Genomic DNA, 19811 nt, shown 5'->3' on the forward strand with positions numbered 1-19811 from the left:
CATTAAGTGCAAGAGATCTGCATGTTAATATAGTCTGTGTTCCATGGAGTCTATACTTACCACTAATTATACCCTAATAGAAGTAAAACCAATAAATAAAAGTCCATATTTGTAAATAAAGGAAGGGGAAGAATTTTACTCTCAAATACTTCTCACTTTAGAAAAAAGACTGTATGAAATTTATTTATCAGCTTTGAAAGTACATTTAAATAACGTAACAATGGCATGGCAACCTCTAAAAATGAATCAGTCTTAACAATCCTTTCCTAAAGCAAATAACCACCCTCTTAACTAATGAAAGCTGGTTCACTATTTACAGCTCTACCAGTGGTTCTCAAACTGAGCTAATGATCAAGAATCGCTTGGACGAGCGCCGTGGCTCACGCCTGTAATCCCAGCACTTTGGGAGGCCGAGGGGGGCGGATCACGAGCTCAGGAGATCGAGACCATTCTGGCTAACATGGTGAAACCCCGTCTCTACTAAATATACAGAAAAAAAAATTAGGCGGGTGTGATGGCGGGCATCTGTAGTCCCAGCTACTCCGGAGGCTGAGGCAGGAGAATGGCGTGAACCCGGGAGGCGGAGCTTGCAGTGAGCCGAGATCGCACCAGTGCACTCCCGCCTGGGCAACAGACCCAGACTCCGTCTCAAAAAAAAAAATAATAATAATAATTGCTTGAGGAAGCATCTTAAATATAAATCATAGGGGCAACCCGCTGTGGTCCCCTTCCAAGCTGTGGAAGCTTTGTTATTTCGCTCTTCACGATAAACCTTGTTACCCCTCAAAACAAACAAACAAACAAACAAAAAAAAACCACACACAAAAAAATAGGCTTCACTCCAGTTCTTCTGAATCAAAATCTCTGAGGTGTGACCCCAAGATCTTTATTTTTTAAGCTCTCCAGGGGGTTCTGATGAGTAGGGTTCAGAACTTTTGTTCCCTTAACACCGGCATTCTACAAATGAATAAATTGAGGCCCTAAAAGGGTAGGATTTGCCTAACGACACACAGCTTGTAAGTACACACAGTAGGCTGGAACAACAATATCCTGACTCTCGTTTGGTGCTTTTACACCAATTCAAGCTGCTGTTTTTGGTAAGACTGTACTTATTTCTGCTCTGCTGCTCATGCTTTGCTGGGTACTTAGTATTCACTATCCTACAACTTATTCCCTCATCTGCAATCTGGGAATAATAATAGTGCCTGCCTCTTAAGAGTTGCTGCAAGGATTAAATAGTATAACATTCATTATATAATGCACTTAACACAGTGCCTGGCATATTGTGAGTACTCATTAGCCAGGTTATGTAATCCACTTTAAAAAGTATGCCTATTTTAACTGGAGAGGATTCACTGAACCACTCCAATTACAAAATGTACAAGAAACCCATGTTCAGCTTTGGAATCCAAAAAGACTTTAAACTCAGGGTTAAGTTTAAAGTCATAGTATCTAATGTCTTGCTTTTCTAGTCATTTACTTATGCCAAAAGTTAGTTCACGCCAAGGAGAAGGATGCCTCTGTGTAGTGAAACAATTTCACAATTACTGACTGAACTGACTGTTGCACACCACTATTTCTCCTAGGATGCCTCAGAACCATCTAGTAACTCCATCTCTGGGTGACGACAGGGAATCTGCATTTATAAAAGCCCGCTCCCCCTTCTCAGGCAAACCAAGATTTGATAACCACTAGTATGTTCAGAATCCACGACCACTGTAAATGGCCTCTCAAGTCTCTCCAGCAAAAAGCTATACTGCTCTGTAACCAGAAGAGCAGCGTCATCAGGTCCTGATGCAAACAACAGCTGGGCCCAGCTGGGCCCAGCTGGGCCGAGTAACCTTGATGATCACAGAGGACGGCCTGGACCCCCTCCCCTCCTAGGAAACACAAAATTATAAAAGCGCCCTCCTGCAATTCCCGTGGGAGACAGTGCTGCCTAGGCCGCTACGAGGAGCTAAGGCTGACTCAACAGCCTCCTTCCCAGGGGCAAGGCCAAAGGAAGGCGACCCTGCATGGCTAACCAGGCCCCAGCGCGGCGCCAGAAGGTTAACGACCCTCCCTGCCCCTTTCCTTATGAAGGCCAAGAGCCTCCACTACTCCGGGGGCCAGCTGACGGAAGTGCGTCACTCCACCCTGCGGGGAGTGCCGGGAGTTGTAGTCAAGTGGCTACTAATCTTCCACCCCGATTCATCTTTTCTAAAACAAGAAAAACACCTCTGCATCCTGAAAAAGATCGCTTTATGCCCAACATGTGTAATAGTTCCTCTATTTTCCAATCAACAAACTGAACTATCTCAGAGCTCAAGCGGAAGGCCGGACTACAAGTCCCGGCATGCTCCGCAGGGTCCCCGGGCGCCCGGCCACCGTCGTAGGTGCGGGCCGCATGAATGGAGCGCCGGGCGTAAGGCAAAGCCTGGCACCGTCTGCGCGGCCGCTATCTGCTCCCGGAGCGTGAGTGCGGGGTGTGGGGCGTGCGCGTGCGCGCTCAGAGGGGGCTCAAGGCGAGCGCGCCGGGCAGTTGCGGGCGCGTGGCTGCTGAGGTTGGCGGCGGTGCCGCGCGCCCGACGGGCCGGTGGTTGCGGGGCCTCCCGCCTCGACCCGGGCTGGGGGCAGCCGTGGCGGCCGCCGGGGACCGCAAGGGGCGGAGGAAAGGAGGGGGCCGGTCCCGGCACGCAGAGGAGCAGCCGACCATGCCCCGAGACAACATGGCCTCCTTGATCCAACGGATCGCCCGCCAGGCTTGCCTCACCTTCCGGGGCAGCGGGGGCGGCCGCGGCGCTTCCGATCGCGACGCGGCTTCTGGCCCGGAGGCGCCGATGCAGCCGGGCTTCCCCGAGAACCTGAGCAAGCTGAAGAGCCTCCTGACCCAGCTCCGCGCCGAGGACTTGAACATCGCCCCGCGCAAGGCCACACTGCAGCCGCTGCCGCCCAACCTGCCGCCAGTCACCTACATGCACATCTACGAGACGGACGGCTTCAGCCTGGGCGTGTTCCTGCTCAAGAGCGGCACGTCCATCCCGCTGCACGACCACCCGGGCATGCACGGCATGCTCAAGGTGCTGTACGGCACCGTGCGCATCAGCTGCATGGACAAGCTAGACGCGGGCGGCGGGCAACGGCCGCGGGCCTTGCCGCCCGAGCAGCAGTTCGAGCCGCCGCTGCAGCCCCGGGAGCGAGAAGCCGTGCGGCCGGGCGTGCTGCGTTCGCGGGCCGAGTACACCGAGGCCAGCGGCCCCTGCATCCTCACACCGCACCGGGACAACCTGCACCAGATCGACGCCGTGGAAGGGCCTGCCGCCTTCCTGGACATCCTGGCCCCGCCCTACGACCCGGACGATGGCCGGGACTGCCACTATTACCGGGTGCTGGAGCCGGTCAGGCCCAAGGAGGCCTCCAGCTCGGCCTGTGACCTGCCTCGAGAGGTGTGGCTCCTGGAGACCCCACAGGCCGATGACTTCTGGTGCGAGGGAGAACCCTATCCAGGTCCCAAGGTCTTCCCTTGAAGCCACTGGCGCCCAGGAGCGGTGGGCCGAAGACGTGCCCTACCCTACCACAAGGGCTGTGTCTCTACCCCCTAGCCTGGGCGTTGGATCTACTGGAATGAGCAGCAGCCGCTTCCTCGGCAGCCTTGGGAAGCACGGGCGACTGGACAGCAGCCGCCGGGCACGGTTATGGGGGCGGGGTGGGCGGGGAGGCTAGATTGTTTCCTGGTACTGTCACTGCCACTGGGGCTTTGATTTGGAGGAATGGGGCAGGGGACTATCTGAAGCGCTTCCATCCTAAAGCCATAATGAAAATATCTTCCTCTCTTCCCCATTCTATACAAAATACTAAGTGGTTTTCTTGCTCCCACTCCCTACCCCTTAGTTAAATAGGGTTTATTTTCCACTCATGCCCTTATGCCTTTTTTTCTTATAGTTTTTTAACTTATTGACTGTGCATGACCCAGTGGTTTGAATTGTTTTTAGTTCAAGTCATTGGTAAAAACTAGGTTTAAGGAGATGAGCTACTGTTTAAAGTGAGCTGGCCTGCCTAATTAATTCCTTGTGAAAACTAAATGATTTTTTCAGTTTGGGGATCATTCTCACAACATAACTATGCATGTAGAGGACAAGATTTATTTTCTTTCCTCCCTTTGCCCAGTAGCCACATCTGGTTTACTCAGGCAGCATCTACTAAGAAATTCAGCACCTGCATATCTCTGTGACATGGTCACTTAGAGCTTATCTTCCCTATGAATCTCCAGATCTGTGAGTCGAGCAGATTTCATGTTGCAGATTCACCTTTAATGCAAAGACTGTATTATCCTCACATGACTTTTTTTCTTGTCTTACTGTACCTTAAAAGGTGATAGAGTAATTCTGTATTTTCTAACGGGAAGATTCAAAGGAGCTGAATGTGTTATGCTTCCAAACAACTGAATGTAAAACACTCCTAGCCAGTTGTTGCATTCCCTATATTTATTTACTTCCAATATTTTACTGTAAAAGTAGGGAGAAATATTATGTTGATAGTTGTTTCATATTCTCTCAGGAACTTTAATGTTCCCGACTCGGGTGATTCCAGCTGTGTTGCTGGCAGTGTTGTCTCAACCCTCTCCCTAAAATGACTGAGCCCTGGGTTCATCTAATGTGGTTTTCCTTAGGAAGAGATAGAAGGCACAGAAGATCACAGCTAGAGAATTGAGAATTAACTATACTACTAGCCATTTTAGGGCACCAAAACTTGGGATTAAACACTTCCTACTTCCCACTCCCAACTCCTGAAATGAAGTCTTGCTATCTGTGACTAGTTTTATTTTTGTGCTTTTAATAGTCCGAGCAGTCTTACCTTGTTTACACATGTATTGACACCATTTGCTTCAGGCCATGGAGCACTGTTTCTCCCTTTTTACTATTTATAGGATTCCGTTTTTTCACAAGACTTTTAATAAAAAGAAATTGTAGAAATAAACACATTAAAATTTGCCCAGCTGTCGTCTAAGCCCTCTTGATTGACTTGCCCAAGTGGCAATAGAGTTCTAATATCTATAATAAAGGGAGATTTGCTATTATTAGTGGAATGTTGACCCCGTATGTAGAGAAACAGTACGTGCCTTTGCCTCTTTATGCACACAGAGACCCAGGGTGAGGGAGTATTTGTTCCCAGTTTTTAAGATAGTATAAAAAAGCAAATACTTGGTGAGTGATTTAAAAATAAAACCAAAACAAAACACAAAAAGATATTCCACAGGACATGCCACTTTATTATAAAACCTGACACAGGCATAGTACCAAGTATTTCCTGCATTGTTGCTAAAATTGTTTTATTGTAGCTCCACATTCTGGTGTAGTTTAAAATGCCTTTGGGGGCAGTTTGAAGCAGTTCTTCATGCCACTTAGTTTGAAAATAAAATTCTAGATATGCAAATGATTTTCTTAGAAAACTTCACAAAATAAAAGATCTTGTTTTTTTTTCCATAGCACAGTAATGAATGTGGTTATCAATCACATACTTTTTTGGATTATATTGTAGCAAAAAGTTGATTAGCTTACCAAGATTATTAATAGCAATGTATGTGTTATAATACAACTTAGTACATTAAAGCTACGAAAACTCATCCTGGCTGTAGGATAGTAATAAAGGAAGAATTATGACTTCATTATGAAAAAAAGAAGTTTTAAAGTTTTCAATTACGAGCAATTTGGAAGAAAAAACCTAAGGTGCTTTTCAAAAGAGTAACTGAAATTGTTGCAGGCCAAAACAGCAATATGATATCTCAGATTTAGTTCAATAAGAACAGTGAAACTTTTGGTTCACTAATAAATTCTGAGTAAATTAGTGGTGAAGACAAAATATAACTTGTTTTAGTGAGCCACTGAGGAAAGAATATGCTTATTACAAAGACAAAATGTGGTGCAGAAACTATCTTGCACCTGTGTGCATAAACTGTTAGTCGTGACTGACTTGGTGTGTTGCTATTGTGTTTCTATATACTCCGTCCAATATAGATAATGTTTTAATAACAACTGTGGGATAAAAGTTATCTTCCCCTTGGAAAGACTAATGAGCACAATGATATTAATCACTTTTATGGTGAATAATAAATGCAATAATTGCCTCATGGGTGAGAAATTGTCTGTCTAAATGCTTCTGAAGCTTTTAAAGTATCTGGTTCTGTCACTGGCCAGTTATATCAATGCAGAGTATTGTGTACCTACTTACTATTTTATGAGAATTGATTTTTACTAAGCCTGATTTGAATGGGTTGCATTTACACCAACTGCTATTTATTAATGAAAGTGGTAGCCTGCTTTTTAAGTAATATGTGTTTTGGCAACAGGAGAGGGTTTTCTGAGCTTTTAACACCAGTAACCCTGAACTTCTTCCAAAATCCACACCTTTTATTCCCCCTTTTCCTTGTCTCCTTCTAGGTGCCTCAGTCCTGGCATCTCGGGAGGACTCTGCCATTACTCATCTGTTACTGATTCTGAATCTTGTGCTCTAGCTCTACAGCCCAGTGAAGAAGCAATATATCTTTAATTCAGGGCTTGCCTCTTGCTTTCCAACTCTAACCTGAGAGCAGTGCTACTTTTGTAATTGCAGGTCTAAATAACTTAAGCGTATATACAGAAGCCAATCACTGATCACTTCCATTGCAATGAGGCATCTGTTGTCAAAGAAGGAAACCATTTGTCAAGTCCCTTATAGATATTGAATCTTCAAACCCAAATCTGGGGATGTTTACATTTCTGGATTAAAATCAGTGTACCTGTAATCCCAGCACTTTGGGAGGCTGAGGCAGGCAGATCACCTGAGGTCAGGAGTTCGAGACCGGCCTGGCCAACATGGCGAAACCCCATCTCTACTAAAAGTACAAAAATTAGTCGGGCATGGTAGTGGGCGCCTGTAATCCCAGCTACCTAGAAGGCTGAGGCAGGAGAATCGCTTGAATCCGGGAGGTGGAGGTTGCAGTTAGCCAAGATCATGCCACTGCACTCCAGCCTGGGTGACAAGAGCAAGACTGCATCTCAAAAAAGAAAGGAAAAAAAAATCAGTGTACTTATGGAAAATGAAGACATGTTTCAAATTGTTTAGAGATAATTCTTACTTGATTATTGCAAGACAGATAGGGAAAACCTTACCTGCTCTGATGTCTACAGTTTGATTACCATGAAAGGTTCACAGTATATACTGTAAGATTATGTTGTACTAAAATCTAGTGGCCTTCTGCAGATTTCTAAAGCCCAAGTAATATACACTTAAAAATAGTTTATTTCCTTGAGAGTGAGCTTTGAAACAGCCTGAAGGAAAACACATCTGAAGCTAATGTCTAATTGGACTATTTTGCTGTAACAGAAAAAAGCTTACTTTGTATTTAACCTAAGGAAAATAAGATAGTACTATACAAGAAAACAAAAATACTTTCATTCTGGAAGGAAAGAGTTTTAGGACTTATTTTCTTTCCTTATTTTTTGTTTTGTTTTCCTGTAGTATTTGTTTAGTTTTAGCTTCTGCTGGCAGCATTTTTGGGACTTGTGTTAATGCTGACCGCTCTTCCCCCTGCCCCCCCCCCACCGACACACACACACAAAAGTGGTTATTAAGTGGTTAAAATGTCACTGCAGCCATTTTTAATATATATGAAACAATTTGCCTTAATCTTATTAGCAGCTGGGATAATGAAATTAAATAGCCAGGTTTATGAAAACTTGTAAGCCTTGTGTAGGTATTATCAACCCATTTTTAATATGAATTGAAATATCTCAAAAGCACTACGAATCTTTAAGGAATTCTTCTCCAAAAGTGTATGTACAAGATTAGAAGAAGACATTTTTCTATGCTTTATTTCTTGAGCAATGTAAAAAATGAGACGTGCAAGAAGCACCCTGAACATTTTAAGCAGAGAGCAAAATCGGATTAAAGATACTGACCTCACATGTTGAAATCTACTAGTAAAAGCCACAAAGTTGGCTCTGAGAAAATGCTGAGATGTGGTGTTCCTTATGGTATGTGTGTTAATGCTACCTCACCAAGCCCACGTCAGGGTGAAAGTGATTATGTAACCAATTTTGCTGTCATCAAAATATCTTCTATTTTATTTTTGAGATGACTTTTAGTCTACTGCTTCGTAAGTAATTGTTAAGATTATCTTGATTGAAAATCCTCTAAAATTAGAATTTGGCAAGACAAATATATCTTACAAAATTTGGGTATATTTTAATATAATGAAATCTTGGTAGGAGGGAAGTATTCTTTAAAATCACGTAATTATCAAAATGTGGCATTGTCTTATACTTACCAAAGTTGGACAAGCAAGGATGATATTACGCCAACAAGCTGGGAAATAGGAACTAATGGGAAAACACCAGTCACTAAAAAAATATGAAACAAGTTCTGAAAACTCTTGTTTCGTAGTAATAGAATAGAGAGATTCGACATCCTTGAAATAGGGATGGAGAAGAGATACAGAAGAAAGGCATTCATTCCCTCCACAAATTGGATCTCAAATTCTAGTGCTGGTAAGGGCAAAAGGTGGTTTCCAGAGTAGCTGTAATCATCTGTTATTCTGAAATACAGGTTGAGTCTGAGGGAGTCTTAACAGTGCTGAAGGGCAAATAGTCAAAGGGATTTTCAGATGTCAGCTAAACAGTGGACGCTGCAGCAACATGTTACATTTGTGTAAGGATCCAGAAGTGGGTGAACTTAAATGATTTTTAGGCCCAGATTTTACAGTAAAGATGATAACTTCACAAAGGCATCGTCTGTTTACTTTGTGGCTAAATTAACTAATTTTTGGTGAATTTATATTTTAAAACCACTACAAAAGACTTGCAGTGAAATGAACCCTACAGTATATTCTTTGCAAACCTTTATCCAGTACCATGGAGGACTATATTGGCCTATTTAGTTTAGGTTATCTTTGAGATTTTCTTGAGGCACCTATCTTATCTAATGAGCTGAGTACTTTGATCGTCACTTCTAGACCCACCAAACCTTTGGCAGATCAATGATTCTATCAAATAGGGGTAATCAATTGGGAAGTGAAGGTTGGAGAGAAATGAGTCCTGGGGTAATTCCTTTGACAACCCATTCATGCTGTCATCAGCAGCGTCTGGGGGCATTTTCGATCTGAAGAGATGATAGTGCTTTTCAAAAAGTTTTCTGTGGTCATGAGACTAATCCTGGAAGCTGAAAGTCATTTCCAGCTTGACCACGCCACCACACTTTCCACAAAGCCACATCTCGTCTGAGTTCTAGACCCTGGTCAGGGTTCTGAAAGCGACTGTAAATGTGTTGTCTCCGAGTGGGCACTTGTTTGTAAGTATTTATTTTCCGGAGCCCACTCAGGAGCAGAGAGAAGCTATAGGCTGTTAGAGACAACGGAACAATGAGTCAAAACAACGCCTCCCCACTTTTACACTAATGCATGGGGGAAATCCCCAGAACACTAGTGTTTGATTATGAATGGAGCCTGCTTTGGGGTTGGTGTCCACAGGCTAGCAAAGAAGATCTGGAGACCATGGTTTGGTCAAAGCATTTTCACTGGTGCTTAGTGCTGTTTTTAAAAAATATTCCCACAGAGACTGAATGACTGTTTAATTCCCACCCAGTAAGTATTTCAGAAATGATTTCTGCAACAAAAATATTGTTGAAAAGTATTTATTTACACTATAGTCACAAACCATCCATTATCTGAACTTCAGTTAGTGGTTTTGCGTTAGAATAGATTTATTTTTTCACAACTATTAAGAGCTAATGACCAAACAAATCAGCTCCGGTAACATTATGTACATTCTTATCTGAAATTTGACTACAAAGGTAACACTTTTAAGTCACAAAACAAAGCATACAAAAATATACTTTCTAAAAAAAATTCCAAATATTAATAGGCAGAAATATACAGCCATACTAAACTCAGGGAGTGATTTTTTTTCTCCATAATAAGGCAACCCATTTACATGCAGACCTTGTAACATTGTCTACATCACACAAGGCACCAAGGACACTTCCAACACAATTGCATGCATCCTAGTTTCAGAGAATATATGTACATCCCCCTTAAATAAGTTAACCTCTGAGATCATAAATGCTTTACATTTTTTCCCAAAGATTCAGAATTTAGAGAACAGTGTACATCAAAAATACACAAAATCTGAGTGGATATACACTGAAAAAATAGCCTACATTTCTCAAACAACTCGAAAAGGAGCAGATATTGCTATGTTCCTCCCATCACATTGCACTTCTGTTCTCTGAGTTTATAATACATATTGCTTCAAGGGTTGAGACAACTAGATATGCTCTGATTCACCATTTTAGGGCCACAGAGTGTGGCATAAAGGCTATACTTCACTCACTGTACAATGTCCCCCAAATCAGTCCCAAGCCATAAAGTGCACATCAGTTTTGCTTGTCTTTTTGCTGTCCCCACTTGAAGGGATCAGCATCTCCCAACCTATTGTAGAAAACGTCTTAGATCAACTCTGACATCCAGGGTCAAAAACCTGTGATGGGTCAAAATAAGGGGAAGTGGGGTAGCAAAACCTAGTCAAACAACCCTTTAAAGCAGGGTCAGACCTCAGCCCTCTTGGCCAGGGGTCCCCACACCACCTCCTTCTGAGCCTCCCCTTTGCCTTGGGTTGATAGTCAACTCACCTAAGAGAGACTAGAATGGGCTAAGTTTTAGGAAGAACCTGCTTCTAGGTGGAAAGGGGGCAGTGCTAGCTCCACCAAAGCCCTTTGCCCAACAAAGGGAGAGAGGGACAGGAAAGGGTGGTAGTGTTTGTTGTGCAGCTCCAGTGGACAAAGGGCCTCCGGGACCTTTGGGAGCTGGTGTATCAGCCTGAGTCTCATCTCAAGGTGTCCGGGTCCGAGAGGAGCAAGGGGCGAGCGGCCCTCCGCCAAGACTGCTGCTGTTACTGCTGCACAGGGTACCCCCAGGCTGCACGCCCCCAGAGCAGGAGGCTGTAGAGGGGGCTGGCACCGATGCAGAGGGGGCACTGCTTTTCCGCTCTTTCTGTCTCAGGTGGATCTTGGTGTGGCGCTTCCTCTCATCACTCCGGGCAAACTTTCGGCCACAGTAGTCACAGGCGAAGGGCTTCTCACCGGTGTGGGTGCGGATATGGGTGGTGAGGTGGTCACTGCGGCTGAAGTTGCGCATGCAGATCCGACACTGGAAGGGCTTATGCCCAGTGTGGATTCGGATGTGCCGTGTCAGCTCGTCAGAGCGGGAGAACCGCCGGTCGCAGCCTTCTGCTGGGCACGGGTAGGGCCTCTCGTGCACCGGCGTCTTGCTGGGTCTGTTGGGGTACTTGCGAGGCCTCAGAATGGGCCGCAGTGGCAGGTGGTGTGGGTTATAGGCGGCGGCGGCGGCGGCTGCTGCTGCTGCTGAGCTGCTACCAGGCAGCCGGGGTCCCTCGCTGCCTCCACTGGCCCCTGGTCCGGTCACCCCAGCACTGGGGCCCCCCAGGGTAAAGTTACGGATTGTAGAGAGTGGAGTGAGTGGAGGGGGCACCCGCAGGGTGTCCAGTGGGCAGGGAAAGGGCTTACGGTCTGGGCCAGCTGTACCATGTAGGTCTCTCTGGCACTGAGATGGAAAGAATCCAGGATAGTCTGGGATCATTGGGAAGAGACCTGGGTCCGTGGCTGGCTTGGGGGATGGATAGGAAGGAGGTGGTGGGTAGGCCAGAGAGGAAGAGGTGGAGGTGGTGGCTGCTGACAGGAACGCAGAAGGGTCCTGGTAGAGGTCTCCTGCACAGCCAGAATAAGGAGGAGGAGGCGGTGGCGGAGAGTACAGGTGGTCCAGGTCAGGCTGGGTCTGGGACATGGTGCACACACCCAGGGGTCCTGTGGCCAGTGGGTTGGGGGAGGCAGAGGTGACGCTGGATGAGGCTGTGGTTGAAGCTGGGGAAGTGACCCCTTGCAAGATGCCTGCACTCACAATATTGATTATGCCTTCTGGGTAGCAGCTGGCACCAGGGTACTGAGGGTCAATGGAGAACTTGCCCATGTAAGTGAAGGTCTGGTTTCTAGGTGCAGAGACGGGAGCAAAGCTGCTGGGATATGGGAGATCCAACGACCTCTTCTCTCCAGTCATGTCAATGTTGATCATGCCATCTGGGGAGGGGAAAGGCAGAATGGAGGTGGAACAATGAAAATACAGCCAGGACTCCCTTCTCACCCCCGCTCACATAGGTCCATTTCCAAGGCCGAGAGTCTCAGCACTGTAGAGCTGTGGCAAAGTCCAAAAGGTGGGGAAATTGAGGCCCACAGACTGTAAGAAGAGGCCAGCCCAACTGTGGCAACCCATTGACAGTATGGAACTCAAGAACTACCTCCAAAAAAGCAGAATGAGCTTTTCCCAACTCCCCTCCACCCCCAGCCATCTGTGGCTCTAGTCCCCAATAAAAAACACCCAATAATAGCAACAACAATATTTTAAAAAGCCTCATCCGCCCGGAGCTTTTCTCCCTCTTTTTTGCCTGGGGGTTCCACGGCTGAGGCACCAAGACAAACACCACCCAAGAATCGACCTATCCCAGTCAGTGCCGTGATGGTGCCAAACCGAGAGGAGAGCCCGAGAAGGGGGTGGGTGATTTCCCGGCTGCTCCCCATCCCCGGCGCCTTGTGCCTTTTTCTCCCTCCCTCTCCCGCTGCGCTTCAGCCGAGGGCTGCTGGAGCGAATGGGGGATGTAGAGGAAGGAGTCCGTAGGTTTCCGTGCCCTCCCAATCTTCTCCGCCTTTCCCGACAGCCGCGCGTCCCCGCCTCAGCCCAAGGCCAGTGGCCCGGCCTCGAGGAAGGCGCGGGGGCCGCGAGAGACGACTTTCCACAGCATCGCCAAGGAAACCGGCGTCGCCGGTGCCCCCGCGGGCCTCCCTCGGCAGTCCGGGGGCTGCTTCCCGCCGTTGCGCGCCCTCCTCCACCACCCACTCGCTGCCTCCGCCGGCCGGAGCCCCCGCCTTACTAACCCCCTCAACTTCGCGGGCGGCGGGCAGGTGGGGGCGCGCCTCCAGGCCGCAAGAAGGGAGCGCTCCGAGATTTTCCCGGGGTCGGCTCTGCCCAGGAGGGAGCTACCGACGCTTTCCCCTGGCGCTTCTCCGCCGCTCGGCTCTCCAGGCGCGCAGCTCTCCCCGAGAGCCCCGAACTTTACCGTCACTTTGCCCCTGCCCCGGGAGAGGGGAGGTCGAAGTGCTGCCGGCCAGAGGGCCTACGCAAGCCTCGAAACCCGGGGGGACGCCTCTTCCACCCCCATCCCTGCGCTCGCCCGGGGCTGGGCGCGCCGGGGCGCACGCACGCCGGTTTGCTGGCGACCTGGCGCATCTGCCCGCGCGCCCTGGTCTCAGCTGTCGCAGGTTCCTCCTGCACCCACTTCCAGTCTTCAAAGCCAGTGCAGTCAGCACCGTCCACCTGGAGCCCCAATCCTCTCCTGCGATTCCCGCACACCCACTGCACCCCATCCACCACCTCCGGGCCGCGCAGGTCCGGGCCTGCGAAGACACGCGGCTTACCTCCGGCCACTCCGTTCATCTGGTCAAAGGGGCCTCCCAGTTCGGCATTGGGAAAGATGGTCACCGACGTGGCGGCGAGGTCCTCCACCGGGTAGATGTTGTCAGACAGCTGGTGCACAAAACCACTGAGAGTTACTGGGATTTTGTCTACGGCCTTGGCGGTCATCATTTGCTCCTCGCACAACCTGGAGACCCAACTCCCTCGCTACCTGGAGTGTCAGAAAAGCCGTTTTGGAGAGGGGTTGGACTGAGCCTGGGATGGTATCTCCTTTTGCCCTCCACACTTAAAAACAACCACCACACACACCAAGAAAAAAAAATCAACAGAAATAAAAGTAGCAAACAAGTTGCTGTTTTTTAAGAAATAAGAAAAATGTCTATTTGCCACTGACTCTCTCCTGTCTGTGTTCCGGCTGCTGGGAAGCCAGGAGTTGCTGGTGTAGTGTTATTATAACAGTCAGTGAGTCCCCTCGCCGAGCTATTAATCAATTGCTCCTCGCTCAGTTAGACGGAAAGTGTTGCTCTAAGTATTTATGGGCAGGTCTTCAATACCCGTGACGTCGCTGCCCATATATGGACTGAGGAACAGGGCTGGGCCAGGCGGCTTTTGCCGTCACATGGCTGATTTGCATACACGGGCTCGGCCGCGCGGACTCCGCCGGGCTCGCGACTTCCAGCTCGCAGGCGGCGGGGATCGCTGGGGTCCCGGGCGCGCGGCCCTAGCTGCAGCCTGGGTCCGGGGCGCAGGGATCGCGGGGGAGAGGGCGCGCCATGGACCCAGTCACAGCCACAGCAGGAGAGCGAGCTGCTCCAGGCTGCGGCTCAGCCTCCCGGGGCGGGGAGGAATTCCGGTTCTCTGGGACTTTCCAAAAAAGGCGAAGATCCGGTGCCGGCGGCTCCGCCTCCCTAGCCCTTGTTTGGGAGCCATTCCGGAAAATTAAACTTCGGAAAGAAACCGAGCGGAGCCGAGACACTACAGTCAAACCCCTACTCACTTTCTTGGCAGCTCAAAACCGCAAGCAAAAGGAGGCAGCGAAGAAAAAAAAAGCTACATGCATTCACGGAAGCTGACTGCTTTTTTCTGAATTACTTGGTGGAAAGAAGTGGCTGGTGATAAGAGTGAATGCGTATTGCTTTTTTGGAAAGTCTGTTCTATTTATACAGGAGCGAAAACGGAACAGGTTTGGGTTGTTTGTTTGTTTAAGTATTTTGGGCACCTTGGGACTGGGAGGGTAAACCCTAGGAGGAGCAGAATTACTGTGGGGAGCTTCGAGAGAAATCCTCAGCCGGAGACACCCTCCTTCCTCTGCCCGCGCGCTCCCCGCCCCCCTTCAGCTGCTGCGCGGAGCGGGCGCCCTTCCCGGCGCGTCTGGGCGGTCGGCTGCGTGGGGGCGTCCAGATGGAAGCTTGGACACTCACCCTGCCCCTCCAGACACACATACACACACACTCACACTCGCTCCACTTCCGCTACACACTCCCGCCCCCGCTGCCCTCTTCACACACCCGCTCACACACCTTACACTACACACCTCCCTGTTGACTGCGTCCGCGCGCCGTCGTTGCCAGCAGTGTCCCGGCGGCAGAGCGGGCTCCGGGCTCGCTGGACAGGAGGTTCTATGAAGACACTGGCCTAACCTTCACTACCGGTCCCTGCAGCCACAGAATCCCCCTGACCCCCATAGCCCAGGATCCAGGACCGCGCCCTGCCCGCACCCGAGCCAGAATACACGTACTAGAATAAATATTTTCTCTCCCTCCCCAAAAAACACCTCGGTGAGCCCAGCGCGGTCCTCAGTGACGGCCGAAAGCATCTCTAATCACTTTCAAGACGCCATCCCCATCCCCCAACCCACTCGTTTTACTTTGCGAGACCCCGGTAGAAACCCTTCTGTTTCGTTCCCAAAGCAATTTTTAAAAACTTTTCCAAAGTCCAAATAGCAGCAGGTTCTGGCTTGCTGGGCGCAAAGCTTCTACCTCCCAGTGCGCCCCAGCCCGCAATGGATAGCCGGGCCTGTCCGGGGCCCCACAGGAGGCTGGTCCCGGGTGCCCAAGTCCAGCGCACCGCCGCCTGCATGACTCATTCATGGTCGTTTGTGCAGGTTGCGAACTGCCCCAGAGCCCTTTCCCGCTCCAAAGCCGCGGAGGCCAGGGATAACGCGCAGGGTCAGCCTCGCAGGCCTGTCCTGTCCCTTTTTCACCCCGGGCCCGGAGCGGCCCTAGCTTAGTGTGGGCCGGGGCGGGCGGGAGCCACGGCGCCACGCCGTGGAGGAAGCGCGGCGCTGCAGGCGGGTCTTCAGCCGCTCACCTGCCTCGACCGCTGCAGCCGTGCGCCAGCTCTCGCCGGGCCCAGCGCACCGCGGTCAGGGCCCTGAGGCTGCCGGGAGCGGTCTCTCCCTCTGCTCTTCCACTGAAGCGCTGCTTCTCCCCCTCCCTCCAAAACAGCCGGTATCCAGCGGCCGGCCATCTCTCTGACTTAAGTCACCCAGAGCACATTTGGGAAAGTTTCTCGCTCGCGCTGTGCGCTTTTTTCCAATTGGGGATGAAAAGGACATGGAAAGAAATCGCAGCAAGGTTAGCACCCTAGTAGATACCCCACCCCAGCAAAAATGTGCAAAGTCCTATTTCTCAAGAAAGAAAGAAAGAAAAGAAAAGCAAGAAAAGATAGCTGCGTTCTTACCACGTGCGCCAGCCCACTCCGCCTGCGCTCTGGCGGGTCCCGCGGCCCCCGCGCTGACCATGGGCAAGACGACGCCTCGGAAGGGAGTCCGACTCGCATCTCGGGCCCTGAGTCCGAAAGAACGGGGGAAAGCCGAATTATGCAAATGCGGATCCCTGCGATGGGGCTCGGGTTACGGCCCCCGCCGGCCCCTTAGGTGAGGCACCCACCGGCAGCAAGCGCGGGCGAGGCGACTGCTCGCGCTTCGCTCCTCTCTGCGCACGTGGGCGGACCGGCAGGCGGGCGAGTTGCCCGGGCCGCCCCGCGACTGGCGCTGCTGCCAAACCCGCCGGCGGTCGCCGCGCGCCACCCCGAGGGGGAGCTCCTGGACGCCCGAGTGCCCGGCCAGCAGGGCGCGGAGGGCAGGACCGGGGCTGGGGGCGGGGCGGGGTGCCTGAGCGAGGGAAAACCGCGAGGTCTTCGGCTGCCACCTTTCCCGGAGGAGGATGCCAGTAGAAGGCGGGTGGAGGAGGGGGCCCCATCAAGGAGTCTTGAAAGCACATTAGAGTAAATGAGAGTGACTGACCCTCTGAAATTCTTGTGAGCTTTCCAAGGACTCACACCTCCCCCTAAGAGCTACGCTGCATCAGCCTGGGGTGCGCAGGGAATGGAGTGGGGGCGGGGACGGGCGGCAGCTGCGGGGAGGCCAGGGAATGCCTGGGGCCAGTCCTGGGAGGCCTTTATTGAACCTCCGCTGAAACAAGTCAGTAGATAACTCTCGTAACCTTTGTTTTTTTGAGTGTCTCTTGAAGTACCAACCCTTAAATATGGGTAGTGCAGATAATGGAACAGAATCAAGGCGCACCCTTTCAAGCCAGCCACCCTGTGGATAAGCTCAGAAAGCTAAAGTGGCTTGCCTAAAGTCACGTAGCTGGTAAGTGGTCGTGTCCAAACTTGCAGCTGGGTCTTCTGAATCCAAGTACAGCGCACAGTGGTCGCTACATCGTGCCCTCAGGAAAACCCAGGTCTGAAAAGTGAACACTTCTTTGAGGATTGGGAGCCTGACTCAGCCCACTAGGGAAGAATCAGGCCGCCTCCGCCAATTTCATCTCCTTTCTTTGCCATTTCTGAGGAGAGCAAAGCTGAGGTCAGGGCTTTCTACAGGCAAGGAGGAAGGGACTGTCATGGACACGCCCCCTGCCCACTGTAAAGGGAGAATTTGAGTTCTTGGGCTCTCCAGACCTAGACTGTGGATGGAATAGCCAGGCTGGCACAAAGCCAGCATACTAATAGGCGCTGTCATAAGAGAAGCTAGCCCCACAGTATCCTTCCTGGAGACAAGAAGAGGTGAGAAAAGAAAGAAGTGCGGACAAGTAAAAACTCCAAAGGGTTTACTGAGCAAGATACTGTGCTGGAGGTGGAGGGGTGTGGGGATGGAGAATGTGAGAGTTGAATACAAACATGTACCATGGTCCCTACTATTAAGCATTTGAACTTTTTTGTTTTGATTAAAAATCCAACAAAGAAACAACTTTCTTTAAAATAGACCTGTAAAAATGCCCGACTAAATGGGGCACTCCAAGATGTATCAGGGCTATTAAAAGAGTAGCAAACTCATGCCAGATTCCAATTTGCTTTGTCCAGATTCCAGAGCCAGAAAGTAAAATAACAACGATGCAGAGAAACCCTTTAGTAGGCTTGCTCCTGGGGTTGCGGGAGAGTGTTTAGGGTGACAAGCAGGGGTGGCAACCTGAGGGTCCTAGCTGGACCCCAGAGTCTCCTGAGTGATTTTCAGGTTTTTTTTTTTAACCCAGATTTGAAATTCTCATTTACAGTGTGGTGACAGGATCACCATCAGCCAAGAGGGATGTCACAAATAATTTGTTCATATTTGTGTTTTGATTTATTAACATTCTTGCACATCATTATAGGCTCTACCTATTGTAATGTCATTTTTGTTCCCTTCCATACTAATACTGTTACTGGAGTGGAAGACAAAAGAAGGTCAGAATTTGCCTTAACTGTGGACACTCATGAGGGTGGGGACCTCAAACTTGAATGGCATAGAACATGTGCACTTCGGTGAAAATCAGATCAATTGCCAACTCTGCCATCCACCTAAAGTGCCCCTGCATGCTGAAAAAAAGTGATAAATGGTTCTCTACGTTTCAGCATCTCACTACTAATCTGGTAATCCCAGAGGCTATAAACCAAGCCCAGGCTACGCCAATCAGAACTGTTGTGAAGCTTGAGGAAAGCATTGCTTTGCACCAGTCCAATGTACAACTTAAGTCACGTGTCATTGGCACAAATAATCTGGACAGGAGGAGATAAGAGCTCTATGATCTAATTTTGTAGAAGCAGCAGCACAAGCAGCAGCACTGGCCCAAGCAGTGGGTGCTCAGGTTCCCTTTAGATATTTCGTGTGCCTCTCTACCAGGTGTCCATCACTACACCAAACCCCAGGGATATAATGGTGCCTAAAATTAGGCCTGGTTCCCACCCCATGGAATTAGCATTGTGCATCACACAAATACATGACTATGAACAATGACAGTGTTTGATCCCAATGAAAGAAAATGACAAAGGACCCAGTTGAATCTAGGAGGTTGAGGAAGACTTCTCTAAGCAGAGATCTGAAGGATGTGCAAGGATTGGGGGAAGGTCAGTGGAGACAGCATTCCAGGGAGAAAGAACAGGTGTTGAAAGGTGCCAAGGTGGAGGGAAGCAAAGTTCATTTGAAGAATGGAGAAAGTCCATGGTTGGTGGAAACTTCTGAGGCCATCTCCATGTCTAGTGCACTGGGGCTGAAGGTAGCCAATACAGGCATCCTCCTTGGAGTGTCTCCGGAGAGATTTCATTCTCCAAGAGTCTTTCTTTGCTCTGCCATTTCTTTTTCTGGCTAATGACAGTGACATTAGAATTTTTACATTTGAAATTTTTTACCACTCAGCTTCTGCAGACAAATGAGAACATGCTGACAAGGTTTCAGCAAGGAGAACATACACAAAAATGCTTATTGATATTAGCATTGTGTCTTGGTGACAGTCGTAATGAAAAACATTTCTTAGTTGTCTATTTCTTAATAAGGAAATGACAGACTGTGTGAATTTTGTCCCATTTTAAATGAATAGAGTTTGTAAGTGCAGTTTTATCTAGTAGAAACACATCCTGACAAATCTACAGATCACTTTACCATTGCTGGCAAAAGACAAAAGGTAAATCAATGCATGGTATATCATGACTGTTTAAGACAAGGTACATACAAACCTGATGTCCACTTTAATAAGTGATAGGCTGTCAGTCTGATCATAAAGGCTCAAAGCATAATCTTCATCCAAAATCATGCCTTTTTATATTTTCTAATCTTTCAGCTTATACCTTTAATTTATTATCTCTAATTGTATAAAAAATAAAGTTTGCTATAACTGAGGAGCTTACAGATTTTTAGACACATATTACTAGCCTGCTTATATTACCAGGTTACGGGGAGCAATTTTTCTTCTTCCAAATGATGTCATACTTGTTGTAGAAGCTTTGCTTTTATACTGACAAAAGGACCAGGCCAGTCAGTGCATCCAGTTGTCAGAGCAGTTGCTTTGCAGCATTAAACCAAAAAAGAAAGCAAATTGTATATTTCAATCAGATAATCTTAATA

General features: G+C 48.9%; 2 protein-coding genes across 7 annotated transcripts, besides 11 other annotated features; one reads left to right on the forward strand and one right to left on the reverse strand.

Moving 5' to 3' along the window:
- Positions 2109–2368: an enhancer, noted in NCBI's record as "active region_3429". NCBI's record gives its function as "activates an Ori minimal core promoter by ATAC-STARR-seq in GM12878 lymphoblastoid cells {active_cell/tissue: GM12878}" and the evidence as "EXISTENCE:reporter gene assay evidence [ECO:0000049][PMID:35858748]".
- ADO (2-aminoethanethiol dioxygenase) lies at positions 2354–6113 on the forward strand. The gene has a single exon (NM_032804.6). The coding sequence runs from the start codon at positions 2694–2696 to the stop codon at positions 3504–3506; it is 813 nt and encodes a 270-aa protein (NP_116193.2). The 5' UTR covers positions 2354–2693; the 3' UTR covers positions 3507–6113.
- Positions 2409–2658: a silencer, noted in NCBI's record as "silent region_2399". NCBI's record gives its function as "represses an Ori minimal core promoter by ATAC-STARR-seq in GM12878 lymphoblastoid cells {active_cell/tissue: GM12878}" and the evidence as "EXISTENCE:reporter gene assay evidence [ECO:0000049][PMID:35858748]".
- Positions 2839–2958: an enhancer, noted in NCBI's record as "active region_3430". NCBI's record gives its function as "activates an Ori minimal core promoter by ATAC-STARR-seq in GM12878 lymphoblastoid cells {active_cell/tissue: GM12878}" and the evidence as "EXISTENCE:reporter gene assay evidence [ECO:0000049][PMID:35858748]".
- Positions 9630–16801, reverse strand: EGR2 (early growth response 2). 6 transcript variants are annotated; one of them, NM_001136178.2, is made up of 4 exons: positions 16740–16801; positions 16175–16281; positions 13495–13703; positions 9630–12102 (listed from the first exon to the last, which is right to left on the reverse strand). In NM_001136178.2, exons 3-4 carry the CDS (start codon positions 13661–13663, stop codon positions 10841–10843), a joined length of 1431 nt encoding a protein of 476 aa, NP_001129650.1. In that variant the 5' UTR covers positions 13664–13703; positions 16175–16281; positions 16740–16801; the 3' UTR covers positions 9630–10840. The 6 variants fall into 6 exon arrangements, with proteins under 6 accessions (NP_001129650.1, NP_001397860.1, NP_001307966.1 ...); NM_001410931.1 differs by lacking the exon at positions 16740–16801 and having other exon boundaries at positions 13495–13603; positions 16175–16409; NM_001321037.2 differs by lacking the exons at positions 16175–16281; positions 16740–16801 and adding an exon at positions 13887–14000 and having other exon boundaries at positions 13495–13603.
- Positions 12911–13000: a silencer, noted in NCBI's record as "silent region_2400". NCBI's record gives its function as "represses an Ori minimal core promoter by ATAC-STARR-seq in GM12878 lymphoblastoid cells {active_cell/tissue: GM12878}" and the evidence as "EXISTENCE:reporter gene assay evidence [ECO:0000049][PMID:35858748]".
- Positions 14021–14450: a silencer, noted in NCBI's record as "silent region_2401". NCBI's record gives its function as "represses an Ori minimal core promoter by ATAC-STARR-seq in GM12878 lymphoblastoid cells {active_cell/tissue: GM12878}" and the evidence as "EXISTENCE:reporter gene assay evidence [ECO:0000049][PMID:35858748]".
- Positions 14741–14820: a silencer, noted in NCBI's record as "silent region_2402". NCBI's record gives its function as "represses an Ori minimal core promoter by ATAC-STARR-seq in GM12878 lymphoblastoid cells {active_cell/tissue: GM12878}" and the evidence as "EXISTENCE:reporter gene assay evidence [ECO:0000049][PMID:35858748]".
- Positions 14846–15843: an enhancer, noted in NCBI's record as "H3K4me1 hESC enhancer chr10:64576972-64577969 (GRCh37/hg19 assembly coordinates)". NCBI's record gives its function as "activates a minimal SCP1, AML or CMV promoter by ChIP-STARR-seq in primed H9 embryonic stem cells {active_cell/tissue: H9 hESC(primed)}" and the evidence as "EXISTENCE:reporter gene assay evidence [ECO:0000049][PMID:30033119]".
- Positions 14846–15880: a biological region, named in NCBI's record as "H3K4me1 hESC enhancer GRCh37_chr10:64576972-64577969".
- Positions 15481–15650: an enhancer, noted in NCBI's record as "active region_3431". NCBI's record gives its function as "activates an Ori minimal core promoter by ATAC-STARR-seq in GM12878 lymphoblastoid cells {active_cell/tissue: GM12878}" and the evidence as "EXISTENCE:reporter gene assay evidence [ECO:0000049][PMID:35858748]".
- Positions 15731–15880: a silencer, noted in NCBI's record as "silent region_2403". NCBI's record gives its function as "represses an Ori minimal core promoter by ATAC-STARR-seq in GM12878 lymphoblastoid cells {active_cell/tissue: GM12878}" and the evidence as "EXISTENCE:reporter gene assay evidence [ECO:0000049][PMID:35858748]".
- Positions 16381–16630: a silencer, noted in NCBI's record as "silent region_2404". NCBI's record gives its function as "represses an Ori minimal core promoter by ATAC-STARR-seq in GM12878 lymphoblastoid cells {active_cell/tissue: GM12878}" and the evidence as "EXISTENCE:reporter gene assay evidence [ECO:0000049][PMID:35858748]".

Source organism: Homo sapiens, chromosome 10 (assembly GCF_000001405.40).
Source record: "Homo sapiens chromosome 10, GRCh38.p14 Primary Assembly".
NCBI lineage: Eukaryota > Metazoa > Chordata > Mammalia > Primates > Hominidae > Homo > Homo sapiens.

What these genes read in the sequence shown, in the direction of transcription:
- ADO (NM_032804.6), top strand. Translation starts at nt 2,694, where the DNA reads ATGCCCCGAGACAACATGGCCTCCTTGATCCAACGGATCGCCCGCCAG.
- EGR2 (NM_001410931.1), bottom strand. Translation starts at nt 16,273, where the DNA reads ATGCGAGTCGGACTCCCTTCCGAGGCGTCGTCTTGCCCATGGTCAGCG. An exon ending in GGAGTGGGCTGGCGCACGTG is followed by an intron (nt 13,604 to 16,174) that starts GTAAGAACGCAG and finishes TTTGTGCACCAG; the next exon opens with CTGTCTGACAACATCTACCC. An exon ending in GATGAACGGAGTGGCCGGAG is followed by an intron (nt 12,103 to 13,494) that starts GTAAGCCGCGTG and finishes TCCCCTCCCCAG; the next exon opens with ATGGCATGATCAACATTGAC.